The sequence below is a fragment of the Homo sapiens genome, chromosome 10, assembly GCF_000001405.40.
Source record: "Homo sapiens chromosome 10, GRCh38.p14 Primary Assembly".
Lineage (NCBI taxonomy): Eukaryota > Metazoa > Chordata > Mammalia > Primates > Hominidae > Homo > Homo sapiens.
The window spans coordinates 116,583,936-116,609,847 of record NC_000010.11 but is presented as its reverse complement, the minus strand read 5'-3'; the positions used below and the strand labels follow the sequence as shown (position 1 = coordinate 116,609,847).

At 44.1% G+C, this 25,912-nt stretch overlaps 1 protein-coding gene and 1 long non-coding RNA gene across 4 annotated transcripts, besides 1 other annotated feature; one reads left to right on the top strand and one right to left on the bottom strand.

Annotated features, from left to right (window-relative positions):
• The first annotated feature begins 100 nt into the window (after positions 1 to 100).
• LOC124902510 (uncharacterized) lies at positions 101 to 4,706 on the top strand. Its single transcript, XR_007062299.1, has 2 exons — positions 101 to 583; positions 2,945 to 4,706. It is a non-coding gene; the product is annotated as an uncharacterized LOC124902510 (long non-coding RNA).
• On the bottom strand, positions 673 to 18,889 carry PNLIPRP1 (pancreatic lipase related protein 1). 3 transcript variants are annotated; one of them, NM_006229.4, is made up of 13 exons: positions 18,853 to 18,889; positions 18,670 to 18,718; positions 17,923 to 18,077; positions 17,307 to 17,432; positions 14,984 to 15,118; positions 13,526 to 13,634; positions 11,901 to 12,020; positions 11,682 to 11,801; positions 9,683 to 9,801; positions 8,647 to 8,776; positions 5,710 to 5,818; positions 4,295 to 4,462; positions 673 to 795 (listed from the first exon to the last, which is right to left on the bottom strand). In NM_006229.4, the coding sequence occupies exons 2-13, from the start codon at positions 18,716 to 18,718 to the stop codon at positions 732 to 734; spliced, it is 1,404 nt and encodes a 467-aa protein (NP_006220.1). In that variant the 5' UTR covers positions 18,853 to 18,889; the 3' UTR covers positions 673 to 731. The 3 variants fall into 3 exon arrangements, with proteins under 3 accessions (NP_006220.1, NP_001290064.1, XP_047281320.1); NM_001303135.1 differs by lacking the exon at positions 18,853 to 18,889 and adding an exon at positions 18,809 to 18,835; XM_047425364.1 differs by lacking the exons at positions 673 to 795; positions 4,295 to 4,462; positions 5,710 to 5,818; positions 8,647 to 8,776 and having other exon boundaries at positions 9,713 to 9,801; positions 11,682 to 11,809.
• Positions 21,181 to 21,385: a silencer, noted in NCBI's record as "fragment chr10:118347975-118348179 (GRCh37/hg19 assembly coordinates)". NCBI's record gives its function as "represses an EF-1alpha promoter that drives an FKBP-Casp9 reporter gene in an ReSE screen in K562 erythroleukemia cells {active_cell/tissue: K562}" and the evidence as "EXISTENCE:reporter gene assay evidence [ECO:0000049][PMID:32094911]".

The following is a 25,912-nucleotide window of genomic DNA, read 5'->3' as shown; positions in this document are numbered from 1 at the left end:
GGGGACGCCAGACTGGCGGGTGGGGGGGGAGGAGGCTCCTCGGGGCCCCAGCCGATTGGCTGACGGAAAAGCCCGTTTCAGCAGGGCCCGCCTGGGCCCCGCCTCCGCGCCGCTCTGTGCTTAGGTGGCCGCGAGGCCGCCTCGACCCAGGGGAGCAGGAAGGAAGCCCGGGAGCGCCCTGCACCTGTGCCTGCCTCTGCGCACCTCCCCAAGAGCCAGGGCCAACGAGGGGTCCCCTCACCCTCAAATCTACCTCCTCAGAGAGGCTGGTCCTCCCGGGCCTGCCGCGATCCCTCGGGGTGGTCTCGGTGAGTCAGGGAGGGTCCTTGAAATAGGGGTCCGGGGCCCGGCCCTCCGACCTGACGGGGACAGCGAGTCACTCAGTGAGTTTGAACAGCTACCTGCTCCTCTGGGCCTCAGTTTCCTCCCTGTGAAGTGAGGGACGGGGCTAAAGGCTGGTATCCCTGAGCTGAGGCTCCGGAGTTCAGTCCATCGCCACCAGCTCAGGCACGGAGAAGACAGTCGACCTACGCACAGGAGCCAGGGAAACCGTGTGACCCAAAGTTAACGGGGAGAAACCCAGGTATGGGGACGTGCTCGGGACATTTGCAAACGTTCCATTCCCAAATGTATCCCCGGGAGGCGGCCGCGGCAGGAGATAGACCCAGAGCATACAGATGCACCAGTGGATTTTATTAGTGTGAACGCAGCAGCCTCGTCGCCCCGGGAGCTTAGCAGGGCGTGAGGGTGAGCAGCGTGTCTTCCCGCACTGTGTCTTCGCTACAGAAGTTGTACCTGGGGAGAAAAGGAAGCTTTGTAAGAGTTTGGGTCACCTTAGCAAAAGCCAGGTGTTTTGTTTTGTTTTGGTTTGGTTTGGTTTGGTTTGGTTTTTCTTAAGGGGTTAAGCCCAGGTCACAGTTGATGAGTGATTCAGGAGGCACGAGGGGGCACTAGGGCTGGAGCTGCAACCAGCGCCTACAGCGCTTGCTGCCTGGAGGCTCTAGGACAAGGTCTGCTATGGTTCTGGAGTGTCACACAGGACGGTGGCCTCCGAAGGCAGGGACTCTCACCTCCTTGTCCCCACAGGCGCCTGGCGGCCTCCATAGGCCCAGCAGCCTGGCTTACAGAGGGATGCTGTCTTCCAGTCACTCTCGGAAGGGGACAGCGGCCAACACGCCCTGAGCCCTTCTCATCTGCAGCCAATTATGCTGCTTAATTCACTTATGCAAACTGCATCCTCACCACACATGTGTGAGGGGGTCTGATGATTAGTTCTACATTACAGGAGAGGAAACTGAGGCACAAAGGGCGCTCCATTAATCAGCAGAATAACAAAGATGCAAAAACAGGTCCATCTGATGCCAGAGGCTGTATTTTCCATGGTAGGATCACACATCAAGCCTTCCTTGACCTTGTCTTCCAGCTCTGGAGTCGGGGGACCTGGCGTTCCTCCCTGGAGTTCCTCATGACCTTTCCCTCCCACATTTGAGTGCTTCGGGGCTAGTTATCTGAGGACTCTGAGGAAGGATGTAGTTAGTAACTGGGAAGCTAAAGAAAATCAAGATTTTGGTCCAAGCTTTTCTCAGAATCCCCTCATATTTTTTAATAACCTTATTGGGGTATTAATTCCTACTAAACAACCTGCCCACTAGGATTCCCTCCAATGACACAGTATCAAAAGAGCAAGGCAAGGCCTGGTGTGGTGGCTCATGCCTGTAATCCCCACACTTTTGGGAGGTCGAGGCAGGTGGATCACTTGAGGCCGGGAGTTTGAGACCAGCCTGGCCAACATGGTGAGACCCTGTCTCTACTAAAAATACAAAAATTAGCCGGGCGTGGTGGTGCATGCCTGTAATCCCAGCTACTTGGGAGGCTGAGGCACAAGAATCTCTTGAACCCAGGAGGTGGAGGTTGCAGTGGAGCTGAGATCATGCCACTGTACTCTAGCCTGGGCAACAGAGCGAGATTCCATCTCAGTCATTCTCCCACGACTGTTGAGAATTCCATGATAAGAACGTAACATCCCATGATGGTAAATGTAAAAAGTCTTACAATTAACAAAAAACAATGCAGATGTAAGCAGTTATTTTTGTGGTTGTTCAAGAACCACGGACTTCTCTCAGGCCTCACCACCTGTGAGCTCGGAAGCTTTGCCCCATTTCCTCACTGGTGTTCCTTGGCCCCTTCCCACTTTCTCTTCTGTGTTTCATTTTTTCTGCCAAGAAGCCCTAACTTGGCATCGGAGGCCTCCGATCATATTCCCTGCACTTGGGCCCTGTCGCCCCTCATGCACTTGGACCTGTTGCCCTGCCCCTGTGCCCTTCCTCCCTCCTACTCCCTGCCTCATCCTGAGAGCTGCCCTTCCTTCCATCACAGCCTCCCCGCGGCCCTCTGCTTTCCTCCTTGGCCACTGTCTTTCTGAGCCTCTCCTGGGAGTTCTTTATTTGGTCTTTTGACCTTCCCTGTGAACCATAAGTCTGATTTTTCTCAACAGCTGAACTGTAAGCTCCTTGAGTGTAGGCTCAGTGTTTGCATCCCTTACTGTTTGCCAGGCCATACAATAGGTACTGAATAAAGTCATTTGCAAGGGTACATTTACCAAAGGTACTTAATAAAGAGAGGGGGACGGAGAAATAAAGAGGGGGAGGGCTGCCTTTCTCTTTGGATACTGTGTCATTGGAGGGAATCCTAGTCGGCAGATTCCTTAGTAGGAATTGAAACCCCAATGAGGTTACTAAAAAATATGAGGGGATTCTGAGAAGAGCTTGGACCAAAATCTTGATTTTCTTTAGCTTCTTCATTATTATTATTATTATTATTATTATTAAATGTTACTGGCCATTTTCATAACAGGAAAATGTTTGAGTAATTCAACTAATTCAGTGTTTTTACTTCCCAAACTAGTTTGAGAGATTTGAAGCTGTTTTGACTTTCCTCTGTTTAGAAAACCTGATGTCTTATATCCAGCTGCTCTTAAGAAAGAGTCTTTCTGGAGCAGACAGCGAGGGGAGCTGCACTCAGCCACTGGAATGCAGGTGACAGCTGATGGGCACAGGACCTCAGGTGCAGCCTTAAGTATGTTCTGTTCCATTTGCAGAAAGTTCAGAAAGCCTCAGCCTTTCCTCAGAAAACCTGGAAGATGCAATGCCCTGGCTGATTTGGACTTGTATGCCTTACCTGTGAGCAAGTCATCTCCTGGGAACACCTCTAATTTTTAAGATTCCAATGATGCCACCACCTGACATGTTTTTAACCACACAGTCCCAGGATCCAGGCCATGGGATGCTTGCTAATGGGGCCTTGGGGAGCTGAATTTAGAGGCTGAGTATCCTCTGATGGGGTCAGGGAGGAAAGGATTTGGTTGCACCTCCAGCTTGCACAGGGCTCCCGACCAGCCCGGCCCAGCCTCCTCTGTACTATGCTCTAGCTTATGAGGCCTCCTGGTTCCACCCACCACCTGGCAGGGCCAACCTCTTTGTTCTCCTTGCCTCGTGGGGATAAGGAGAACCTCACTAAGTCATCCAGTTCGAGGAGACCCAGATGTGGAGTCAGCCCCCATTCTACTCTGCCACCCCACCCTCCCCACCTGGGGGAGTGACAATCTCTGGGACCTGAACTCGGTGACTCCACCTAACCCCAAACTTCAAGAACATCGGTGGCTGAGAGCCCAGGATCTCCTTCCCACAAAGCCACATGTTCTACTAGCCAGACTTGGGGTCTGAGGTTTGAGAGACAGTCGCTCTGCCCTCTCAGGTCACCACTCCAACTTTCCTCCAGCCGTCCCTTTTTCCTACCCACGGCCCTGTGCTTATTCAGGCCCAAAGCCAGGGAGACCACAGGTCAGGATCTCACAAGTATTGCAATCCTAGTGCATTCTTGTCCTATGTAAAATTTTCGATCTTTTCCTAAAACCGATTTATTTTCCGTTTTATTATCCTGAAATGTAATTGGTCTTCTCCTCTTTCAAGTATAGCTATTCACTAGCCCATACTTATAAACTTGTACCCTTCAGAAAGGATTTCTTGTTCTCTTTCTTGTATTTTCTCATTTTACCTTGAAAGTGCAGCCTTATCTTCTGTATTCCCACAGGCAGTGCTGAGAACACCCAATAAGGTGCACCCAACAGAAACATTTTATGCTGTTTGTCAGTTGCTTGTTTGGGGAGAAGGGGCCACAGATGGGTAAATTTTCTTGGCTTTTCTTGCTTAACTACACGTAACTTTCTAGGGTGGGTTTTCATTATAACATGAATCTCTGCAAACATTTTTAGGCACCAGCCAGCAAAGATACATACACTGTCTTCTCTTCTCCCTTTTGCACAGTGATCTTGGTGGCACCCACTTTGGGGAGGGTTGGATTTATCACATTGTTATTCCAAAGAAACTTGACTTTCTCAATTGTTCCAACATCCAGCTTTGCATCAAACTCATAGGAATGGGTTGAGCCTGGTTTGAGAATCCCCCTTGAAATAGAGAAACATAAACATCCCTGTTCACGGAAATGAGTTCTAATTACCATACAATGCCAGGCTGCTGTTTTCTCTTCTAGATTAACAGGATTATTTTTCCGAATTAATTTCCAAATAAAGGATGGAGAAATGGAAAAGCCAGCTATATGCTAGCACCTCAAACTATGGTTTTTAAAACTCAAGTTAATTTTTCCTTAAAGCTTTCTAATAGAAAATAAAATAGAATTCCTGCATATCATTTTATATGTTTTGGAAGAATTATTTGTACAGTAACAAATTGGCCACATAGTATGGCACAATAAGCATGTGTTATTGCACTAATCAGAAAACAGCATATCTGAAGTAATATTAGATTTATGTTTAAAAAAACATCTATTAAGAGAAAGAGGCCGGGCATGGTGGCTCACGTCTGTAATCCCAGCACTTTGAGAGGCCGAGATGGGTGGATCACTTGAGGTCAGAAGTTCGAGACCAGCCTGGCCAACATGGCAAAACGCCCCCCATCTCTACTAAAAATACAAAAATCAGCCAGGTGTGGTGGCACATGCCTGTAATCTCAGCTACTTGGGAGGCTGAGGCACGAGAATTTCTTGAACCCGGGAGGCGGAGGTTGCAATGAGCCAAGATCGTGCCACTGCACTCCAGCCTGGGTGACAGAGCAAAGACTCTTTCTCAAAAAAAAAAAAAAAAAAAAAAAAGAGAGAGAAAGGACGAAATGCCTAGGTTTATAACAGAAAAGAAAAATTATTAGCAGAAGTCTGCAATTAACATCAGTACATAAAGTTATATAGTCCTGCGTTGCTTAACAATGGAGATATGTTCTGAGAAATGTGTCCTTAGGTAATTTAATCATTGTGTGGACATCATAGCATGTACTCACACAAACGTAGATGGCACAGCCTACTACATACCTAGGCTGTATGGTACAGCCTATTGCTCCTAGGTTACAAACCTGTACTACATGTTACTGTATTGAGTTCTGTAGACAACTGGAACACAATGGTAAGTATTTGTGTATCTAAACACCCAAACATAGAAAAAGTACAGTAAAAATATGGTATTACAAGCTTATAAAGCAACTGTTGTGTATGTGGTCCATCAACTAAAATGTTGTTACATGTTGCATGACTATAATTAAAAACCAGTGACATATAAAGAGATGATAAGTGTTCAAATTAAGTGTGTGGTTTGAAGGCTGTGTATATCATCAAATGAGACGTAGTGTTAAAATAGGAAATTACCTGAAGATACTGTACTGGTGAGTGTTTCCCTTATTTCCAAACAAAGCAACTTTGATCTGACCAGTGGCTGTTCTTCCAGACAGTGTGATGGAAACCCCATATCTCCAGCCTGCACAGGAGATGGAAGAGTTCAATTTATTCACACACAAAATAAGTAGCCTACATCCCAGACTTGTCTCCTTCTCTTACTCTGAGGCAACAAAGCATAAGAAATTCTTTTCTAAAAAATTATTATTATTATTTTTTGAGATGGGGTCTCACTCTGTCACCCAGGCTGGAGTGTAGTGGTGCAATCTTGGCTCACTGCCACCTCTGCCTCCCAGGTTCAAGTAATTCTTCTGCCTCAACCTCCCTAGTAGCTGGGACTACAGGCACACACCATCACGCCTGGCTAATTTTTGTATTTTTAGTAGAGACAGAGTTTCGCCATGTTGGTCAAGCTGGTCTCCAACTCCTGACCTCAAGTGATCCGCCCGTGTCCGCCTCCCAAAGTGATGGGAATACAGGCGTGAGCCACCACACCCAGCCAAAGTATAAGAAATTCTATTTGTTAATCTACAAATCAAACAAGGCCTTATGGAGAAGTATGTATTTAGCAGTATCCCCCTCTAGAACTGCATTGCCCAGGGAGGAGGTCACCAGCCACATGTGGCTGCTTACATTTAAATCCAAATTAAATACAATTAAAAATTTAGTTTCTCAAACTCATTCGCTGTGTTGCAAATGTTAAGTTGCCACATGAGGCTAATGGCTACACAGAATATGCCCCTCATTGCAGAAAGTTCTGTTAGCCAGCTCTGCCCCAGAATGGCAGTACAGTAAGGTAAGGTGAAGAGAGAGGGAATAGGGGCTTGTCTCCACATTTGGGAAGGTAGCTCGGGAGTGCAGCCTGGCAAGCACCTCGAGGGCGGGGACTGTGTTTCCTCTCTGCTCCCCAGGGCCCTGGGCAGTCTCTAGCACAGAGCAGGTGCACGAGCAGCTGTCACTTAGGCTTCTACCTGAAATGCTGTCCCAGGGCCTGCATGCACACGCACACAAATACAAATACATATACACAAACATATGCATGTGCGTGCACACACACAAATACATATACACAAACATATGCATGTGCACACACAATACATATACACAAACATGCATGTGCGTGCACATACACAAATACATATACACAACATGTGCATGTGCACACACACATACATCTACACAAACATGCATGTGTATGTGCACACACACACAAACCTACACACATTTAACCACGCACATACATAGACACCCACATACAAATATACATACACATGCACATACATATACATAAACATACAGACTCATATACATACGTATATAAACACATGCATACACACAAAGGTACATACACAAACACACTCACACATGCATTCATACACCCACACATGTGCACAGATGTACATTAATATACACAGACATGATTCTTGCCTAACTCCTATTCATCTTTCGTGTCTTCAGAGACCTTGACCCTGACCCTCCTTCTGGTCAGGGCCAGGTTCTCTGTCCCATAATGTCATGGCAACAGCCACCAAGCCCAACACGCTTGTAGTTGCTTGCCCAGTTTCTGTCTTTGGCTGGATTATTAATTTCATGAGAGGAGTCTCTTGTTCGTCCCTGCATCCTCAGTGTCTAGCATAGTCTGTGGCCCATAAATAAATGTTGATTGAGGAATGAATACCTGGTTTTTGAGTGTTTAATTTGTTGTTGAAATATTGGCAAGTATTTCATGCATCACAACATCAGTGGAAGGATTGATTAATCAATGTCTTCTTACAAAAAAAATACACAGAGTGGGCCGGGTGCGGTGGCTCACGCCTGTAATCCCGGCACTTTGGGAGGCCGAGGCAGGCGGATCACAAGGTCAGGAGATCGAGACCATCCTGGCTAACATGGTGAAACCCCGTCTCTACTAAAAATGTAAAAAAAAAATTAGCCTGGCATGGTGGCGGGCGCCTGTAGTCCCAGCTACTCGGGAGGCTGAGGCAGGAGAATGGCGTGAACCCGGGAGGGGGAGGTTGTAGTGAGCCAAGATTGCGCCTCTGCACTCCAGCCTGGGCGACACAGCGAGACTCCGTCTCAAAAAAAAAAAAAAAAATTACAGAGTGATATATATGGTGATAGAAGTGTTCTGTATCTTGATTTGGAGGTGTTTACACAACTATTCATTTGTCCAAACTCATACAAGTGTATGCTAAACAGCGTGCATTTTGCCAAATATAAATTATACCTCAATAAATCTGACTTTAAAAACTATGTAAGATGTGTTATACATTTATATGAATATGTAACCTCTGTCTTTACTGGGTCACCTCCTATGGAAGTGTCATGGGGCAGGTTGGTACAAAGTGGCCCAAACATGCCCAGTCTCTACCCTGTGTCTTAGTCCATTCAGCAGGTTTTGGAGAGAAATCATCCTTCCCCCTGATTCCTGCCTGCACTCCACCAGCGAGGCAGCCCCTGGGCATCAGGGATGCACAGACAGAGGGGAAAGCAGAGAATGGAGTTGGGCTTCTTAAGGGACATAGCCCAGCAAAGAGCTGGTACCAATTACGTCTTTGCTGAATGAAGAGAACAGGTGTGTCTGATGCGGCCTTAAAAAGGAAAGAAACAATGAACTGTGGAGTGGTAAAAATTCAGGGTAGCTGGTCACAAGGATGTGCAAACTGGCCTCATCCCATTAATTATACTAGTTGCTTGCTCTCATTTCATGCCGCAGAAATAGAACGGAAGAAATGCACACTCTGTCTAAATCCTCAGTTTACTTGTAACTGCAATAGTTTCGGTAAATGTGTCCATTTCTAAGATAATTAAAATGTACCCACAAATATTTCAGGTTGAAAGCAAGCCCCTCATTTGTAACAGAAACTATATACTTTCTTTACATGGGCAGGTAGTCAAAGTGCAACTTACGAGCGAAATTGCTAGCCTCTCCTGTGTTCAAGAAGAATTTCTGCTGCTCTTCACTTGTCCTGCCAGCAAATTTATCAGCATAGTGACCCATCTGTGGGCATCCTTGATCTGGACACGGGAAGCACTTGTCCTAATGAGAAGAGATAGATGGGACTGTAAGGAGAATTTGTGTTTGTATGATCGATACATCTGAGAGGGCAGACACTCAATTTTCCTACAGCCTAAGCGTTCTCCTTTGTGACAACAAAGGGGTTGGAGCAGATGATCTCTAAATTACCTTCATCTGGATCAGGGTTCCCAACTTTTAGGCACAACACATTAGAATTATTTGAGGAGCTTTAAAAAATACTGATGCCCAGGACCCAGGTTAGATCAATTATACCTTCTGTTGAGTGGAGCTGGTGAATGATAAGCAGCAAAAGCTCTGGGACAAAAACCCTGGATTGCAGTGCTTACCATTTTCAGTGGTGTAAATACTCTGACTGTGGCCAGTTTCAGGCTACCAACATGATGTCTCTGAATTTGGAGTTGGGAAGGGATACTCATGCTGGCTTTCGTGAGCCAGAATAGGCAGGCTCTAACCTGTCATTCTTCATCTCTCCCCTTGTTGCCAGCCTGGCATATAGGACTCCAGCATCCACCTTGCTTTCTCTCTGGTGTGAATTATTCTCTATACATTCTTCTACTCTCGCTCTGCCCTTGCCAGAAATGTGCATTCCTGTGTTTTCTAAACTGTATCATTTTTAAGCTAGATTCAGAGGTTGCCTCCTGCAGGAAGCCTCTATATCATTGAATTGACTGCTCTTTCTCTCTGATTTCCCAGTTTTCCTCTGCCACATAACTCATGTCATCTAAAATTTTAGCCATCTCCTGCCAAAAGTTGTTTACTTTTTTTTCTCTTCCACTCCACAGGACCATGAACTCTGAGGGTCAATGCAAAACGTGTAGTGAGAAGGCATTGCAAATCCCAAACGCAGCAGGACAGCAGTCCCTCAGAGGGGTGATGCTTGTTGCTCGAGGCAGGACAATAGCTTACAGACTCAAAGGACTTGTAGGAAGTGCAGGGATATGCAGCAAACCCATCGGGATTGAGGATGCTTTCCAAGTAATACTTGTAGCTTCTTAGGTGATTGCAAGCCACAAAGTCCCGGGTTCCTGGGAAAACAAATAAGGAGACCTGAACAGGTGGTTGGGGGCCTGTAACAGCTTCTCTGCCTCTCTCTCCAAATGGGATGGTTCCAAAGTAGGACCGTATTTTCAGAAACTTAAGATAAATCCAAAATTCAGCCACCATAATGACAATTAACATATAGAGGGTGCTTTCTGTGTACAAGGCAACATTCTGATCACTTTACCTGCCTTGTCCATGTAATCCTCAGTCTTCCTAGGAGGTGGGTACCATATCATCCTTATTTATGCATTATCATCTCATTCCTATGTTACAGAAAGGACTACAGAGTGTAGCCTCAGATTTACAGCTTAGCTAATAGGTGGGAAAGCTGGTAATTAAACCCATGCCCATCTTGTCTTCGGCCCATCCCTCTAACCTTAGTGCCATCTCATGTCCCAGGCACCATGCTGGAGGTCCTCAAAGACATGACCAGATGTGACATGACCAAGCCAATGCGAGGACATTTCCATGCGGCAGTTATACAAATAAAAACAAGGGCTGGATAACTTTAGGTGGTTTTGTATGAGCTTCACTCTCATAGTGTCTTGATTTTACTTGCAACCTTTCTGGGCTCCCTGCAACTCCTGCCAAGTGACAAATGTTACATTATACCTTCTAGACCTGGCCTGAGCTTGCTGGGCCATTACTGATGAAGAGTTTTGACTGCCCTATGCACGCAAACCCTCATGAGGCTGTGAAAGACAAACTGCATATGTCCTCATTCTTTATTTTTTATTTTATTTTATTTTATTTTATTTTATTTTATTTTATTTTCGAGATGGAGTTTCGCTCTTGTTGCCCAGGCTGTGGTGCAATGGCATGGTCTCGGCTCACTGCAACCTTTGCCTCCTGGGTTCAAGCGATTCTCCTGACTCAGCCTCTCGAGCAGCTGGAATTGCAGCCACGCACCACCACGACTGGCTACTTTTTGTATTTTTAGTAGAGACGGGGTTTTACCATGTTGGCCAAGCTGGTCTCAAACTCCTGACCTCAAGTGATTTGCCCGCCTCGGCCTCCCAAAGTGCTGGGATTATAGGCGTGAGCCACCACAGCTGGCCTGTCCTCATTCTTAATATTTGCTTTGATGGCATCCATATATGCCAAGCCATTTTGATGAAATTCAGTAAAAATCTTTACTCATTACATTTGGTCAGACTACTAAGGGTTTTCTCCGTGTGGTGCCACATGACAAGTCTGGATGAAAACTTCACCTGTCCATTGTCCTTTTGGCCTCATTAGATACAGAGTCAGAGCTGTGTCTGCAGGATGCCCTTTCTTCCCAAGTGTGCTAGATCAACAATAAAGAATAACCACATCCAATAGCAGTCTCCCATCTCACCTTCCTTAACTGTGATTGCTCCTCATTCCTACTCAACATGGGTGAGCAATGGCTCTCATTGTGCAAATAGGCTTGCTGTGGAAACCACTGGGAATATTCTCATTCTAGCTACTGAAAGGGAGCTGATTACATCATTTTGAACCTTATCACTGACTCCCAAGAGAGAATTTGTAGCAAAAGTCTCTTAGTTACAGTCAGGATGTTTGCTCTTATGGTATTTCCTTTCTGTATTAGGTAACTACCAACTGATTGCTGGAGTCACAGCTTTAAGTGACAGTTTTATAATTCTTTGTTGCTTGTACATGCCAGGACATCCACAGCAATGTTTTAAGGAAGCACAAAAGCAGTAAAGCTGAGATATAACAAATACTATGTAGCTACATTTTTTCTGAAATAATCCCCAGAAGAGGGAATTGTATATTTTTAAAGACAGTTTCATTTTTATTCTTAAGATTTGCTGCAGAAAGGTATTGGTCACTCCAGGAAAGTACCCGCCCTGCTCCCCTCACCCCACCATGACTTTACCCGCCCAGATGCCATCTAGATCCACGATCTGAGACAGGGCATTCTTCTTGCATCCCGGCATGCTCTCTCCTCCATTGGGGAAGAAGTCAAGATGACCCATCTGTTGGTTCGTTCCAAAACCTGAAATGCTTAGAAAAACAATGAGCTTTTTGTCATGCAGGACTTTCATGGTTAAAACACAGTTGTGCGTGCTCACAGCTGGAGCATCATAGGTCTCACCCAAGAATGGGATCAGGGGAGCTGCATCCGTGTGAATCACATCAACAAAGTCAGCATCAGAGGGATCAAGTCGCACCTCTTCAGGAGTACTCTCGAAACTTGCTTCTACAGGATCCAACCCTAAAAGAGATGATCAGCACTGCAGAACAATAGACCTGACTGTAGATGTCAGCAGCACCAAGGTGTACAGCTGCCCGGGCTATGCACTGCCCAACTCAATGGGTACCATGCACCAGAGTGATGCAGTGCCATGGCCTTGGGTGCTAAATATGAGGACATAGAGTCTGAATGTGGCTCATTGCAAAAGGGTTCCCAGTGGCGTGGATGGAGGAGGACAAATGAGCAAAGAAATTTAGATTTTGTTTAAGCAAGGATTTTTTCCACACCAGAGTCTCCCATTTACTTGTGTATCTTTCTTCTTCATCATCCTTTCTCTCCCCAAGCTTGTAGAAAGAAAGGGGTGAAGCAATGTGGTATCATAGTTAAGAACACAGGTTCTGGGTCTAGGTTGCCTGGCTCCAAATTCCTACTCAGCTGCTTTTGGGGCAAGATGCATGACCTTGAGCATGTCACTCTACCTTTTTGTGCTTCAGGTTCTTCATTTTACAAAATGGGGTGATAATGGCATCTATTTGATATGGTTGTTATAGATTAAATGAGTTAATAGGTAGCACTTAGCACAATGCCTGGTGTATAGTCATGGGTGTATAAGTAAGATATTAATAATTATTGTTTTTGACAAATTTCCTTCTTAGTAGGGATCTTGGATTTGTTAATAGTTTTTGAAGGCTTCATTACAGCAGCTGATAAAATAGGAACGTGAATGTAGTTGCCAGCTGAAAATAAAAGAGAGATTTCTTATAAAGAGTTGCTTAAGCCAAACATCGGCAAAACCAGGTCTGGATCTCAGTTCTCCCACTGATGAGTTGTGTGGCTTTGGGCAAGTTATTTGCATCCCTGAGCCTTTTTCTTCAGTTCTGAGAATTATATAAGAAAATATAAAGCATTTTGTGCAGTATTTGGGATAAGCAGGCACTTAATCTATGCTTATCATAATAATTATAATAGCATTATTATTATTATTATCACCATCATATTATGTAGATATATCTTGCTGTTGCTGTTATAATTCAAATGCTTTGATTGGGTTAAAAGAATGCTTTTGGCCATAATGGCGACTGGGTTTCTTCTACTAGTAGAAGCAGTGGGAAACAATTTTTAGGTTCTATTCTGCCCTTGATTTCAAAGAGAAGGGAGAAAGAATTGGCAATATAGACCCTCCTTGATTATGTTTTGCTCATGTTCATACTAGTCTCACTCTGCATTTTCCTGGGTGCCCAGTCCTGTTGAGAGGCGAACACCACCAGAAAACCAGGACTTAGAAAGGAGGGGCTAGGACAGAGGTGGAAGAAGCAAAGAGGAACAAAATCACCCTTCCCTTGCCGTGAAGGTGGCGCATGAGCTTCTTGGGGGCTCCCTAAAATGTTCTGTGCAGGCTCCAAGCAGCTCTATCACAGCCAAGGGGGACAGTCTCCTTCAGGGGAGCTCTGAACTGGGCTGCATTCTTGAGACCTCATTCTGGGGTTTCTGGGGACAAAACTGGGGCCCTGCCTCTGGGGCCTTACCTGTAATCCTGCTCAGGCCTGGAGTCTTGCTTCCTGCCTCTCCAGCCACGTGGGCTCCCAGGCTGTGGCCAATGAGGTGAACTTTGGAAGGGGGGTAGCTATACTCTGTCTGGAGAGGGAAGATTGTATTTTCAGGACATTTTTTGCTGTGGTTTTTCTAAAATGCCAGCCTAATGGATATTACTCCTCTGCTGAAAACCTTCCATGCCTCTCATTGCCTTCAGGATCAAGCCCAAACTCATTCTGAAGGCCTCCGAGCTTTCCTAACTCATCATCTATTTTTCTAGACTCTTCAGCCAAACCCTTTGTTGAACTTTCAGACCCTCGAATACATCATAGCCTCTCACCTCTGGGCCTGGTTTGTTCTTCTCTTCTTGTTGTTGTCTATCCCCCAAGCACTTGCCAGCTAACATCAACAGACTAGCCTTCAGCTGTCAATTTAGACGTCTCTTCCTTGGGAGACCTCCTTAAGCCCTTTCCCCACCCCATCAGTGTGGATTAGCTGCCTTCTATGTGTTCCTGTAAAGCTCCTACTCTCCCCATCAGAACCCACTAATAGATCGCACTCTACTGGCATTGCAAGTTTTCACTGCAAGCTCCTTGATGGTCTGGGATCTCATGTGTCTTCTTTACTTCCTCACATACTCCTGACATTCTGCTCCAAAAGTACTGGTGAACAAGCAAATCAAATAGAGCTATGAGGTATTTGCACATGTTGATCTCAGAGACGTTCACCCAAAGGCACTTCATTTATTGGTCTATCATACTTCTTGCACAAATACCATGGGTTTTGATTTCTGCAGGAGTGCAGAAGTTGATTCTTTTGTAGACCCTTTAACTATAAGACAGAAATGGCTGTAGTCATTACCTGGTATAGAAAATAGTCACAAAGGATTAGCAACTTAAAGAATTAAAGACTGAAGGAGTTAGCTATAATGAAACAGTATAGGAAGAAATAAGTGAAATGATTGTGGCAGAAGGAATTCCCCAACATCAATAGGACCCATACCACCAGGCCAGTAGAGCTGGTACATGCCAATTGCACGTACTGTCCGTTGGCTCTCTGTGGCTCTCTCTGGCCATGCTGTGTTTCACGCGAAACAGAGCCCACCTGGTGTTGTGGGTGAATTCTGAAGCTAGATGGTCTGGATCAAAAGGCAGGTCTTCTATTCATTTGCTTTATGACTTTGGGAGCAAACTAGTTAAACTTTCTGGGCCTCAGTTTCTTTATCTGTAAATTGAAGATGATTTTTAAAAAACCACTTTCTAAGTGTTAGCGATTCTTATTTTTGCTTCCACTGGCGTGTCATTATGAAGGCAAATTTCAGAGTTTTAGAAGTAAGGTCTGGATATCAATTCTTTGTCCTTCTTTAATCCATAACTCTCAGCTGCATCTCTACCAAACAGAGACCAGCAGGCACTGCTTCCCTCCTCACATAGGCCAGCCAGCTGACTCACCAAGAGGATGTCGAGCATCTGGGCCACCTGGGCGCCCACCACTCGCACGTTGTTGGCAGCCTGTGTGTAGGTGGCTTGGGAGCCCTTCTTCCAGTCCACGCAGATGCAGTTCACCTCCTCCACCTCGAACAGTTTCTGGTGTTGGGGAGATAGTGGGGTTGGGGAGATAATGGGAGCAGGGGAAACCTTATCCAGCCAGGGCTCAGAAATGGCCACTTCTCTCTTCTCCTAGCTAGGGCATGAGATAAACTAGACTCTGTTAGGGAATCCTGTTGGTAATTAGGAGTTATCCTTCAGGGTGAATGCTATGAGAAAGGCAAACTGATTCCCCCTCCAGCTTGCAGATTAATTGGAAGCTGGCTACTCTCTGGTTTCCTTCAACCAAATTCAGTAAGGTTGGTTAGTAAGGGAAAAACAATTGCATCATGAAAAGAGTCCTGTTTTGAAAAGGAAAAGTCTTAGGTGCAATCTCCGGTGGCCAGTGTCTAAATGACCTTGTGGATTTGACTGTAAGGGGTCCTTTCAGGCTCTTGGCGATGCCCCAGGCTGCTGGAAAGTGAGAGAGAAGTTTCACTATTTTTATAGTCACGATGACACAGTACTTCATGGAGTAGACACATGTAGATATTTGAAAAATAGAACTGTACTGATTTAAAAGAGATTGAAGAATTCTGGAAGGAAAATGTCTTCCTGGATGTCAAAGGAGCTGATATATCTTTAGGAGTTCTGCCAGGCAGTACATATTACCAGCTTGAATTTAAAATGGTACTATAAATTTAAAATGCACTTGGAATCATTCCACATATAGTATACTAATATGTGTGATCACATGCACAGAGATAGTGGGAGTTTTCTCCTCAGGACTTTTCTTTTCTTTTCTTTTTTTCTTTCTTTTTTTTTTTTTTTTTTTGAGACAGCCTCATTCTGTCGCCCAGGCTGGAGTGCAGTGGCGCGATCTCAGCTCACTGCAACCTCTGCCTCCGAATTTAAGCAATTCTCCTGCCTCAGCCTCCTGAGTAGCTAGGACTACAGGCGCCTGCGACCACACCTGGCTAATTTTTGTACTTTTAGTAGAGACAGGGTTTCACCATGTTGGCTACGCTGGTCTTGAACTCCTGACCTCGGGTGATCCACCCGCCTCGGCCTCTCAAAGTGCTGGGATTACAGGCATGAGCCACTGCGCACCTGGCCAGGACTTTCATTTTCAAGCAATCCTGAGGAAACTTTCACAAGCCTGGAGAATTTGGAGTATAAACTGTATCAATAAGATGCTTATTAATGATAGGACAGGAAAGGTGCCAAGAGTGAAATGCCTGTTAAACCAAGGGCAAGTGCAGAATGACTTTAATTTTCTGGGTTTGTAATTTTTCCTTTTGACATTACTGGTTGGTGTTATTAATGTATGTGTGGAAGGCAGGCTCCTGGGGTAGGTAAATTCTTAGGTGACAGAAAAATCGATTGAACTAGTCTCCACATAAATAGAAAGGATGATGGTATATTGTGGTATATTGCACGCACATGTGTGTGTGTTTGTGTGTGTATGCACAAGTTGCACACATGTCCATGTATGTATGTGTGTGTGTGCACATGTGTGTATTCTTCTGTTGCTCTCCTTCTGACCTATATTACATGTAGGTGACACTTTCTATTCTGTCATTGTAGTAACTTAATCTTAGTTTTCTTTTTTTTTTTTTTTTGAGATGGAGTCTCACTCTGTTGCCCAGGCTGGAGTGTAGTGGCACAATATTGGCTCATTGCAACCTTTGCCTCCTGGGTTCAAGCAATTTTCCTGCCTCAGCCTCCCAAGTAGCTGGGACTACAAGAGCCTGCCACCACAACAGGCTGATTTTTGTATCATTAGTAGAGATAGGGTTTCACCATGTTCGCCAGGCTGGTCTCGAACTCCTGACCTCAGGTGATCCATCCACCTTGGCCTCCCAAAGTGCTGGGATCAATTAAGTGGTCACAGCAACACATGTCAGCCTCTCAGGGATGTGGGAAAAATTTGAACAAAGAAACCCCTATAGTCCCTCGCTTATAGGATACAAAGTACCCTCACTACAAATGGAAGCAGAAAACATCAGGCCTTGGTTTAACCAGAAATTAGGTAGTAGGAGTACTTTTCTAACAGCAAATGTGGTTGCTTCAGTGTGCAGATGTAGTGCGGAAACATGGAAAGGCATTTTAATTTTTGTGAAGAGAAGCATTTTAATTGCATAAAGTTACCTAATATGTAAAGATTTCTTGAGTGCATAAAGTGATGCAGAGATGTTAGCAGAAGTGTTGGCCTCAGCTGGCCACAGGGATCAGAGCTGGCTCCTACCTTGCACATGTCTGTCACCCAGCTCTCATCTCCTTTGTCTATGAAGCCATGGATGATGAACCGGGTCTTTCTGTCCATTTGAAAATTTGATGCCTCAATTGTTGATGGATCAGAGAGGAGGAGAATCTGTGACAGACGCAGAAGTGCTTCATGTTTTCGCAGCCCAGCCTCACAGGCCTTTTTCCTTCCTCATCTCCGCCTGCGCCAATGCCTCTACTTTTCAAAGCTTAGCAAAAAGCCACTTCTTCCATGAAGCCCACCCTGATCTCCCTTTTCTTGCCCCATCTCTCCAGGTGAGTAATCACTGCTTCCACTAGGCCTGGATTGTGGTTTGAGGTTTTACCTTCCCTGTGGTTTTTGTTAGACAGTAAGCTGTTTGCCCCAGACCAGAATCACACAGTAGCTAGAGGTTCTGGCAAATGTGAACCATTCATTCATTCAAGCCAACATTACTAAAGACCTGCTCTGTCTAGGTCTAGCTAGGTCTGGGGGGCAGCTTGAGGGATGGGGTGGGGCATGGTGGAGGAAGAGGGCACAGAGATAAGGTATTCATGGTCTGCAGGGTGGGCATAGCCCCGTGCCAGTTACAGTGACATTTAAATGACAGAGGTCTCACTTGAAAGTTGTTTGGGTTTTCATTGGTGTACAGCAGGAAGCGGGTGCCGATCTTCTCAGGGCTCCAGGGGAGAATTTTCAGGGGCCTGATTGCTGTCCCGCCCCAGGGCTCAGTGTCAGAAAAGCACCCGAGGTCCTCATAGCAAACTTCTTTTCCTACAGAGAAAGGTTGAATCTGCTCAAGGATTTGCTCTCAAGGTGTGCTCTGGGGTGTCACTGCTGTTCGGGCCTGGTCACTCTTCTATTCAGGGACAGTCTGAAGACAATGGATGAACCTACTGCAACCCCTCCCACTCTCTTCTTGACCCCAGTGCCCACCTACTACTGGCCGGTAGTAGTATCAGTCCCATTGAATCCCACAGGGACACCACTGGAGCCTTTGTTTAGAACTACCCTCAAAACTGGAAAGTTCTAAGTCCCATTCCTAGCTCTTCTGATACATTTATTTGACCAATGTGATCATGGGCATTGATAAGTCAATATGTTAACTCAGGCAGATGTTTCATGCTTTACCTAGAAATGTCTGGCCTTGGGCACCCCGAGCATGAAGGTAGGCCACTGGGGGGATCCCCAGAAACAGGTCTCCCTTAAACTGCCCAGCCTACTCTCCCAGGCAGAGTGTCAGCCCACATCTTCTCTCTGGTACCCTGGAGCTGCTGGGAGCCCTGCCACAGTTAAAGCTTTCTCTGGCCAGGGCTGAGAGCTTAAGTTTAAGCCCTTCCTACGGGGCAGGAGTGGTGTTTCTTACCTTTGGCTGCTCCCAGCAGGAAAAGTGTGATTGTCCAGAAGATCAGCATCTACAATAAATTTAAACATAATTCAGTCTCACCGGGCATTGCCAGAGCAGTGAGCACCGACGCCCTGGACTTCAGTACTGTTTACCTCACCTGTACGTCACAGCAGGGGGAAAGGAGTTGCAAAGGTGGCTTACCCTGTCTAATGTTCCAGATGTTCCCTCCCACCGGATCGAGTGTCCAGCCCTTTCTAAAAATATATATTCCAGCCTTATCATTTGGACACTACTTCAAGAAAACAGCAGGTGATTATAGCCCATGCTGTGCGCACTTAATACTTTAATCTGCCCAAATACACAAAACAAGATTAATAATAGCTGTCAAGTCTTCCCACAAGTCTGGAAATATGACAGAATGCTTGGTTAAAGCAGGGAGTGAAGTCACCAACCTTGTACCTATGTAACTATGCATGTACTTGTGAGCTGAATGGGCCCTCACTTTTCAGTTTTCTATTTCATCACCAAATAGTTTACAAGTCTCAATAGGGACACAGCAGCAAACCCTAATGATAGAGGATAGTATTTCTCATTTAGAATAGATGAAAATACCTGCAATTAGTTGAAAGTAAAGAGAAATCTCTGATTAAGAAAACTTCTTCTCTCTCTCTCTCTCTCTCTCTCTCTCTCAATCTTCCTCTCTCTCTTTCGAAGACTAGGAATACTGGGCATCTGAGCTTTGGAGAAAAATTCAACAGCCCTCACAGTAGCTTCTGACCACAATCCTCCCATTAACTGCCTATTCCAGTTATATATTGCTATGCAATGAACCAATCCAAAAGACAACACTTTAAAACAATAGCAATGATTGCATTATGCCACTGTAATCTCAATAGTTGGGTTCAGGAGCCCCCAGAGGCCCATGTCATGTCTGTTGAGTTTCCCCAGGTCCTCTGAAGGTTGCACACCTGCAGATAATTCTTGGACCCTGTAAAGCCATCATGATATAACCAGAGACCTCTGCATCTGTGAACAGCCCAGCCAGTTCACACAGCAAGGCAGATAAGCCTTCACAAAGCAAACACCATGAGTGCCTCCCCTTGCCAAGTTAAATATGCCTCGGTGTCAAAGTTCTCAATCTTAAATAACCAAAACACAAGGGTGCAGGCCTAAGGGCCTTCCTCTTAAGAAAATGGAAAGGACTCCTGGAATCATAAAGAATAGCTGCCAACTGTTACGAAGCCTTACCAAGTACAGTCAGAATTCCAAGCACCTTACGTGTATTACCTAATAAGTTTTAAAACAATCCCATAAGCCTCTCTTTATAAATGTGGGAACTGAGGCACAGAGAGATAAGTAAATTGCCTAAAAAGTCACACGACTAACGAGTGATGAGGTAAGATTTGAATTCAGGCTGTACAGAGTTGTTGAATATTCAGTTGTGTTGAGCTAGTAATCAGCAAGCTTCACTGGATGTCAACCATGTAGAACAAGAGGGATACACAGAATGAGTCAAAAGAGAAAATGTGAAAACCCTCTTGGCCCTTGACCTGTTTCCTCCCTACTTCCAGGCATCCCCAGGATGGAGAAACAGGCTAGACTTGGTGATGGACTGGGAAGGTGGTCAGAGTTCTTCATCCCTTCCTCCTGTACACACACCCTTTGCAATGTGATCTTGCAGCTCCTTCCATCAAGAAGTGGAGTTTATTTCTCCACCTCTTGAATCTGAGCTAGACATGGTATGACTTGATTTGGTCATTAAGTGTGGTAACAGCAACATCTTTGAACAACTCAAAGCCAGCTGTCCCCCAAGTATGTAAAGGACCCAGCCAAGATTAGTGGCACTGCCTACTCAACCCACTGTAACCACAGAGGCATGAGTAAATCCAGCCAAGACCAGAAGAACCACCCAGCAAACTCAGATTTTTGAGCATGGATAAATGCTTTAATTCAGTGCTTTAAGCCACTGAATTGGTGATTGTTTGTTATGCAGCAGTAGCTAACCAATACAGGAACCCAAGCCAGGCCTGGAATTCAGAGACAGCAGCACCTGTTGCACTCACTGTTACTATTCTTTAGCACACAGCACCAGGTTCGAGCATACCCTTTCCTAAGACAATGAGGAAACTCCGTGCATCAGTCAATATACACTGTGCTCCAATGCACTGGCTCCTGTTTAAATGCTCTAGGGGATTTAATTAGACTAAGCCTCTAGCAAGGCTGAGGTTCAAGCTGCTTCTCCTTCACAGGCTGTCAGACAATTTATTCATTCCACACCAGATGGAAAGATTTCTGGGTGAGTCTTTCAAACAACAATAACAACTGGAATTTCTTTTTTTCTTTTCTTTTCTTTTTTTTTTTTTTTTTTTTTTTGAGATGGAGTCTTGCTCTGTCACCCAGGCTGGAGTGCAGTGGCGCGATCTCGGCTCACTGCAAGCTCCACCTCCTGGGTTTATGCCATTCTCCTGTCTCAGCCTCCCAGGTAGCTGGGACTACAGGTGCCCGCCACCACGCCCAGCTATTTTTTTGTATTTTTAGTAGAGACGGGGTTTCACCGTGTTAGCCAGGATGGTCTCGATCTCCTGACCTAGTGATCCGCCCGCCTCGGCCTCCTAAAGTGCTGGGATTACAGGCGTGAGCCACTGCGTCTGGCCAACAACTGGAATATTTTGATTGAACTTACATCCAGTTTCAGGGTCACAAGTAAGGATTCATAGGCATACAAATCTGTGGATCTCTTTTTGAAACCATGACTTCATTTCCACCAGACAGCTCTCAGGTCTTCAAGACGTATGACTCATTGAAGGTCACAAAAGTAAAGAATGAAGTCACCAGCCATTATCTGTTATACATACATGTGTAGATGAAGCCCAAATATCTGCTTTCCTTCAGGCAATCAGCTCTGTCCTTGTTTGCTCCTTCAATTTTAATTCTGGGGGAATGATAGAGTTGGGTTCAAGGTGGGTTTTCGGAGTCCCTTAATTTTAGAGAAATGTTTGTTTTGAGAAAGCTGGTTTTTAAATCTCTTCCAGAGCCTAGAATCAGACTGTATTACATTGAACTATGTTTCTAAATATCCCATGAACTGGCAGACTCTCCCTCTGTGTGTTGTAATGGAAGTAGGGTACAAGAACTTGCCTCATCATTAGTCAGCTATTGATTTCTTTTTCTTTTATTAGAGATACCTGTCTGTGGGAAGTGAACTCAGCTTCTGAGTTTCACCTAGAGTTCTCAAAGTCCTTGATGACCGCTGGTAGATCTCACCGAGGCCAGACAAACCCTGGTGCCAGTTGGAGTGCATTAGGTCCAAAAGTCTGCGCTCCTCTGTAGGGGTCCTTGGCATTTCCAGAACAACTCCCAGCCTTCAGAATCTGGGTGCTGTGAAGTTCTGCAAACTTGAATGACGATTAGATAGGGAAATAATCAGAACTTGCTCTCCATACAAGTATCAAAACGGTTGATTTACACCCAAAACTTGGCTGAAGCCACTTTTGGGGGCCTCTGCTTGTCCATGAGGAAGTCCTCATCATCCAGCTGCCATGGACTTCGGAGACCAGGAACTGGGTCTTTTTTTTGCTCACTTCTGTGTCTCCAATGCCTAGCGGAGTGCCTCACATATGGTAGGTGCTCAGCACATGTTTGTGGAAGACATGAATGCTTACTCAAGGACCATCCTAGTCTTGTCTCCTACAATTCTCTTCTCTGAATACTGCCCAGAAGCCATAACAAACTGTCTTCTTAATATTAAAAGAGCTAAGCTTTTAAAAACTGTGTAACTTTTCTGTACTTACCTTTAGTTGTTTCATAATGACCAAGATCCTATTTAAGAAAATGTTTTAGGTCTTTTGACATTTCTTACAAACTTCTGAAATTCTAATTTAAGTCTTTTGATCTCAGAATGACTTTGGGACATACTAGAGGGTCCCTGGAGCTTCTCAAAGGAAGAGACATATTAAACCAATTAGGCTTATTAAATACATTAAATTATATGGGAAACATTGTAAATAAGAAATTATATTTAACCTTCTTTTAGTTATACTTGTATAAATATGTTGTTTCATGTTCCACAAACTAATAAATTCTTAGAAATCTAATGTGTTAGCAGCTGTAATTTTGGTTATTATGTTAAACTGTTATATGCTACAAAACAACCACATTTCCTTGTGAATTGTGTCACTATTATAATGAATTCTCATCTTTTAACGATGGTCATTTTAAGTCCTGTTATTCACGCACAGATCATTAAATAGTTAATTGTTTCCTTTTTTTCTTTTCTTTTTCTTTTTTCTTTCTTTTTTTTTTTTTTTTGAGACTTGCTCTGTCGCCCAGGCTGGAGGGCAGTGGCACGACCTCAGTTCACTGCAGCCTCCGCCTTTCGGGTTCAAGCGGTTCCCCTGCCTCAGCCTCCTGAGTAGCTGAGACTACAAGTGCATGCCACCATGCCCAGCTAGTTTTTGTATTTTTAGTAGAGACAGGGTTTCATCACGTTGGCCAGGGTGGTCTTGAACTCCTGGCCTCAAGTGATCCGCCTGCCTTGGCCTCCCAAAGTGAGCCACTGCGCCTGGCCAGTGAATTGTTTTCTGAAAGCTTTTTGCAAGCAACTGTAACCTTACCGAGCTTCAGCTTTATGGAGATTCATGGAAAGTACTCTGACAAGTATAGGCTGATAACTCTAGGATTATCCCAATGGATTGGGTAAGAATTCGCAGAGCTCTAACAAACTGGTGTCTTGATTACAGGCATGAGCCACCACGCCTGGCCCTCTCTATCCACTTTTTAAGACCTAACACAAATATACTTTTCTTTCTTAGGGTGTTATTGTTTGGACATGGCCTAATTTTAAATACTTGACCCTAGTGGATCCATTCATTGTTTCCATTACTGGGAAAGTCATTCAAAAAATATTTATGTGCTCTTCTACTACATGCCAGGCATGTAGGCAATAGGTAAACCCCTTAAGGAGTTTAGAAATGGGATATACATAGAAATGAACCAGCAATTATGATATGGAGAGTCAAGGGTTGAGGTGGGAACATTTCTGGGTGCAGTAGGATTATTGCCGGGAAGCCCCTTATCAAGTCTTAGGGGGTATGGGTAATGGAGGTGAGGAAAGATTTCCTGGAAGAAGTGCTGTCTACTCAGATATTTAAGAATCAGTAGGAGTTGAACAGACAGGAAGATAAGGAAAAGAACATCCCGGGAAGAGGAACCATTCATGGCAACATCCAGCCGCATCAGAGATCAAGGCCCTTTTGGGGAACAAGGCCAAAATGTAGAGTTCCAGAAGGAGCATGGTGAGAGATGAGGCCTGGAGTCCAAGGTGACAACTAGAACATAAAGGACCTCACAAAGCTCATTAAGGAATATGGATTTTTCCTGGGGACCATTGGGAGGATGATCAATTTGTGCTTTAAAAAAGATCAAAGAGGCTGCAGAGAGATGAGAGGTCTGGTTTAATTTTGAGGTTGACATTGTCATGCCATCTTGGTTATAACTGGTAACATTAAAACAAACACTCATGGAATTTATTAGAAATAACCTACGTTAGTTGCTTTCACAGGGATAGGGGGATGAGTTAGGAATTATCAATTCCGTCCAGTTCTCATCTCCTCGTGTGGCCTCTCTCCTGAGATGTCTGATGTGGAACAAACACAGAACTAAAGATGATGGGAAAAGTGGCAATGGTTGGTACTTTCCTCATGGACCTACCCAGAAGGGGTCATTTTGGACCTGGAAGTCTGCTTACCTGATCAGAATGACATCACTAATATTAATAATGAAAATGATGACAGTCTCATGTAAACAGTATTCCAAAGTTCAAAAGGCAGCAAAATTCAACAGTCATGTATGGTTCTTGAGACCATATTGAAAAGTTTCATTGAGAGGAAATTTATAACAAAAGACAAGAATGTGTTGCTCCACCATTAAATTTTGTTAGCAGTAAGATTTAGTGATCACATGTCAGCAGCCTCCTAACACAATGTGAGGGTGAACAGAACTTCCTTTCACAAGGTTTCTAGACTACAGAAGTTGAAAAATATAAAAATAGAGTTAAACCAAAGAAAGGTGAGAGGTAGTTTCCATACTTACTGTATTTGCAAGCTATAGTGGAAATAAAATGTGCACCCTCATAGCATTTATGCACCCTCATAGCATTTGTTGAATGCTAATTATTATACTTTTGGCTTTAACCTAAGCATTCAATATATATCATCTCTTTAAGGCCTCCCACCAAGAATGTTGAGTGTATCATTAATATTTACATTTACAAATGAAAAACCTGCCTTAGAGAATTGAAGTATTTTACCCAAAGTCATTCAGCTATTTAATGGTAAAACCAAACCAGGATTCAAATCCTCTCTTGTAGTCACTAAAATATATATCCTTGGTAATTTTTACTTCACTGGGCATCTTCATTACCTGAAATGTTACTTCTAAGTGGTATACATTAAAATTTTTATTTCAATAAATTTATAGTGAAAAGAATAGTCTTTTATAAAAATCCAAGCAATAGATATATAATTTTCAAGATTAGATATAAGAATCCAACCTAGATATCTAGAAAATACTAAACAAGATGAAAAAAAAATCTTGGTAACTATAAGATTGCACAGAAATATCCACATGTCCATAATTATATGGTTTAAAGGTCACCATTCAAGAAAAATTTCCCATGTTCATTAGCATCCTATAGACATAGTTTAGATTTACATAGACTAAATTTTTTGGTTCAGAATTATTTCCAGAGCAAGTTTGAACATTTACCTGATACATATATATGTGATGGTGACTAAGGTAGACTTTAGACATTTTCATCTACAAACCCATATTTCTTAAGTCCTTAAATGCTTTATCTCTATTAAAATACTTATCTATGATCAAAAGTATAGGTATGCAAGTATAAATATTCATTCAATAAGTATTTTACCTTTTTACATTTTCTGAATTGGGTCACATGATCAGAAATCAGAACCCTTAGAGTCCTTGTATTTTTTTAATGATATTCATCTTTTGTCTATAGCACTCTCTTTAATACTATGTGTGACTCAAACGTGCATTAAGGACATCCAGAGATTTTATTCATTTATGTCTACTTCCCATTGACAGGGATATACAAAGAACAAGTGTCATACCATAAAGAATATTAGGTCGGTGCAAAAGTAATTGCAGTTTTGGCCTTAAAAGTAATGATGAAAACTGCAATTATTTTTGCACCAACCTAATGGAACAAATAGAATTAAACCCAAAGGCTCAAAATTTG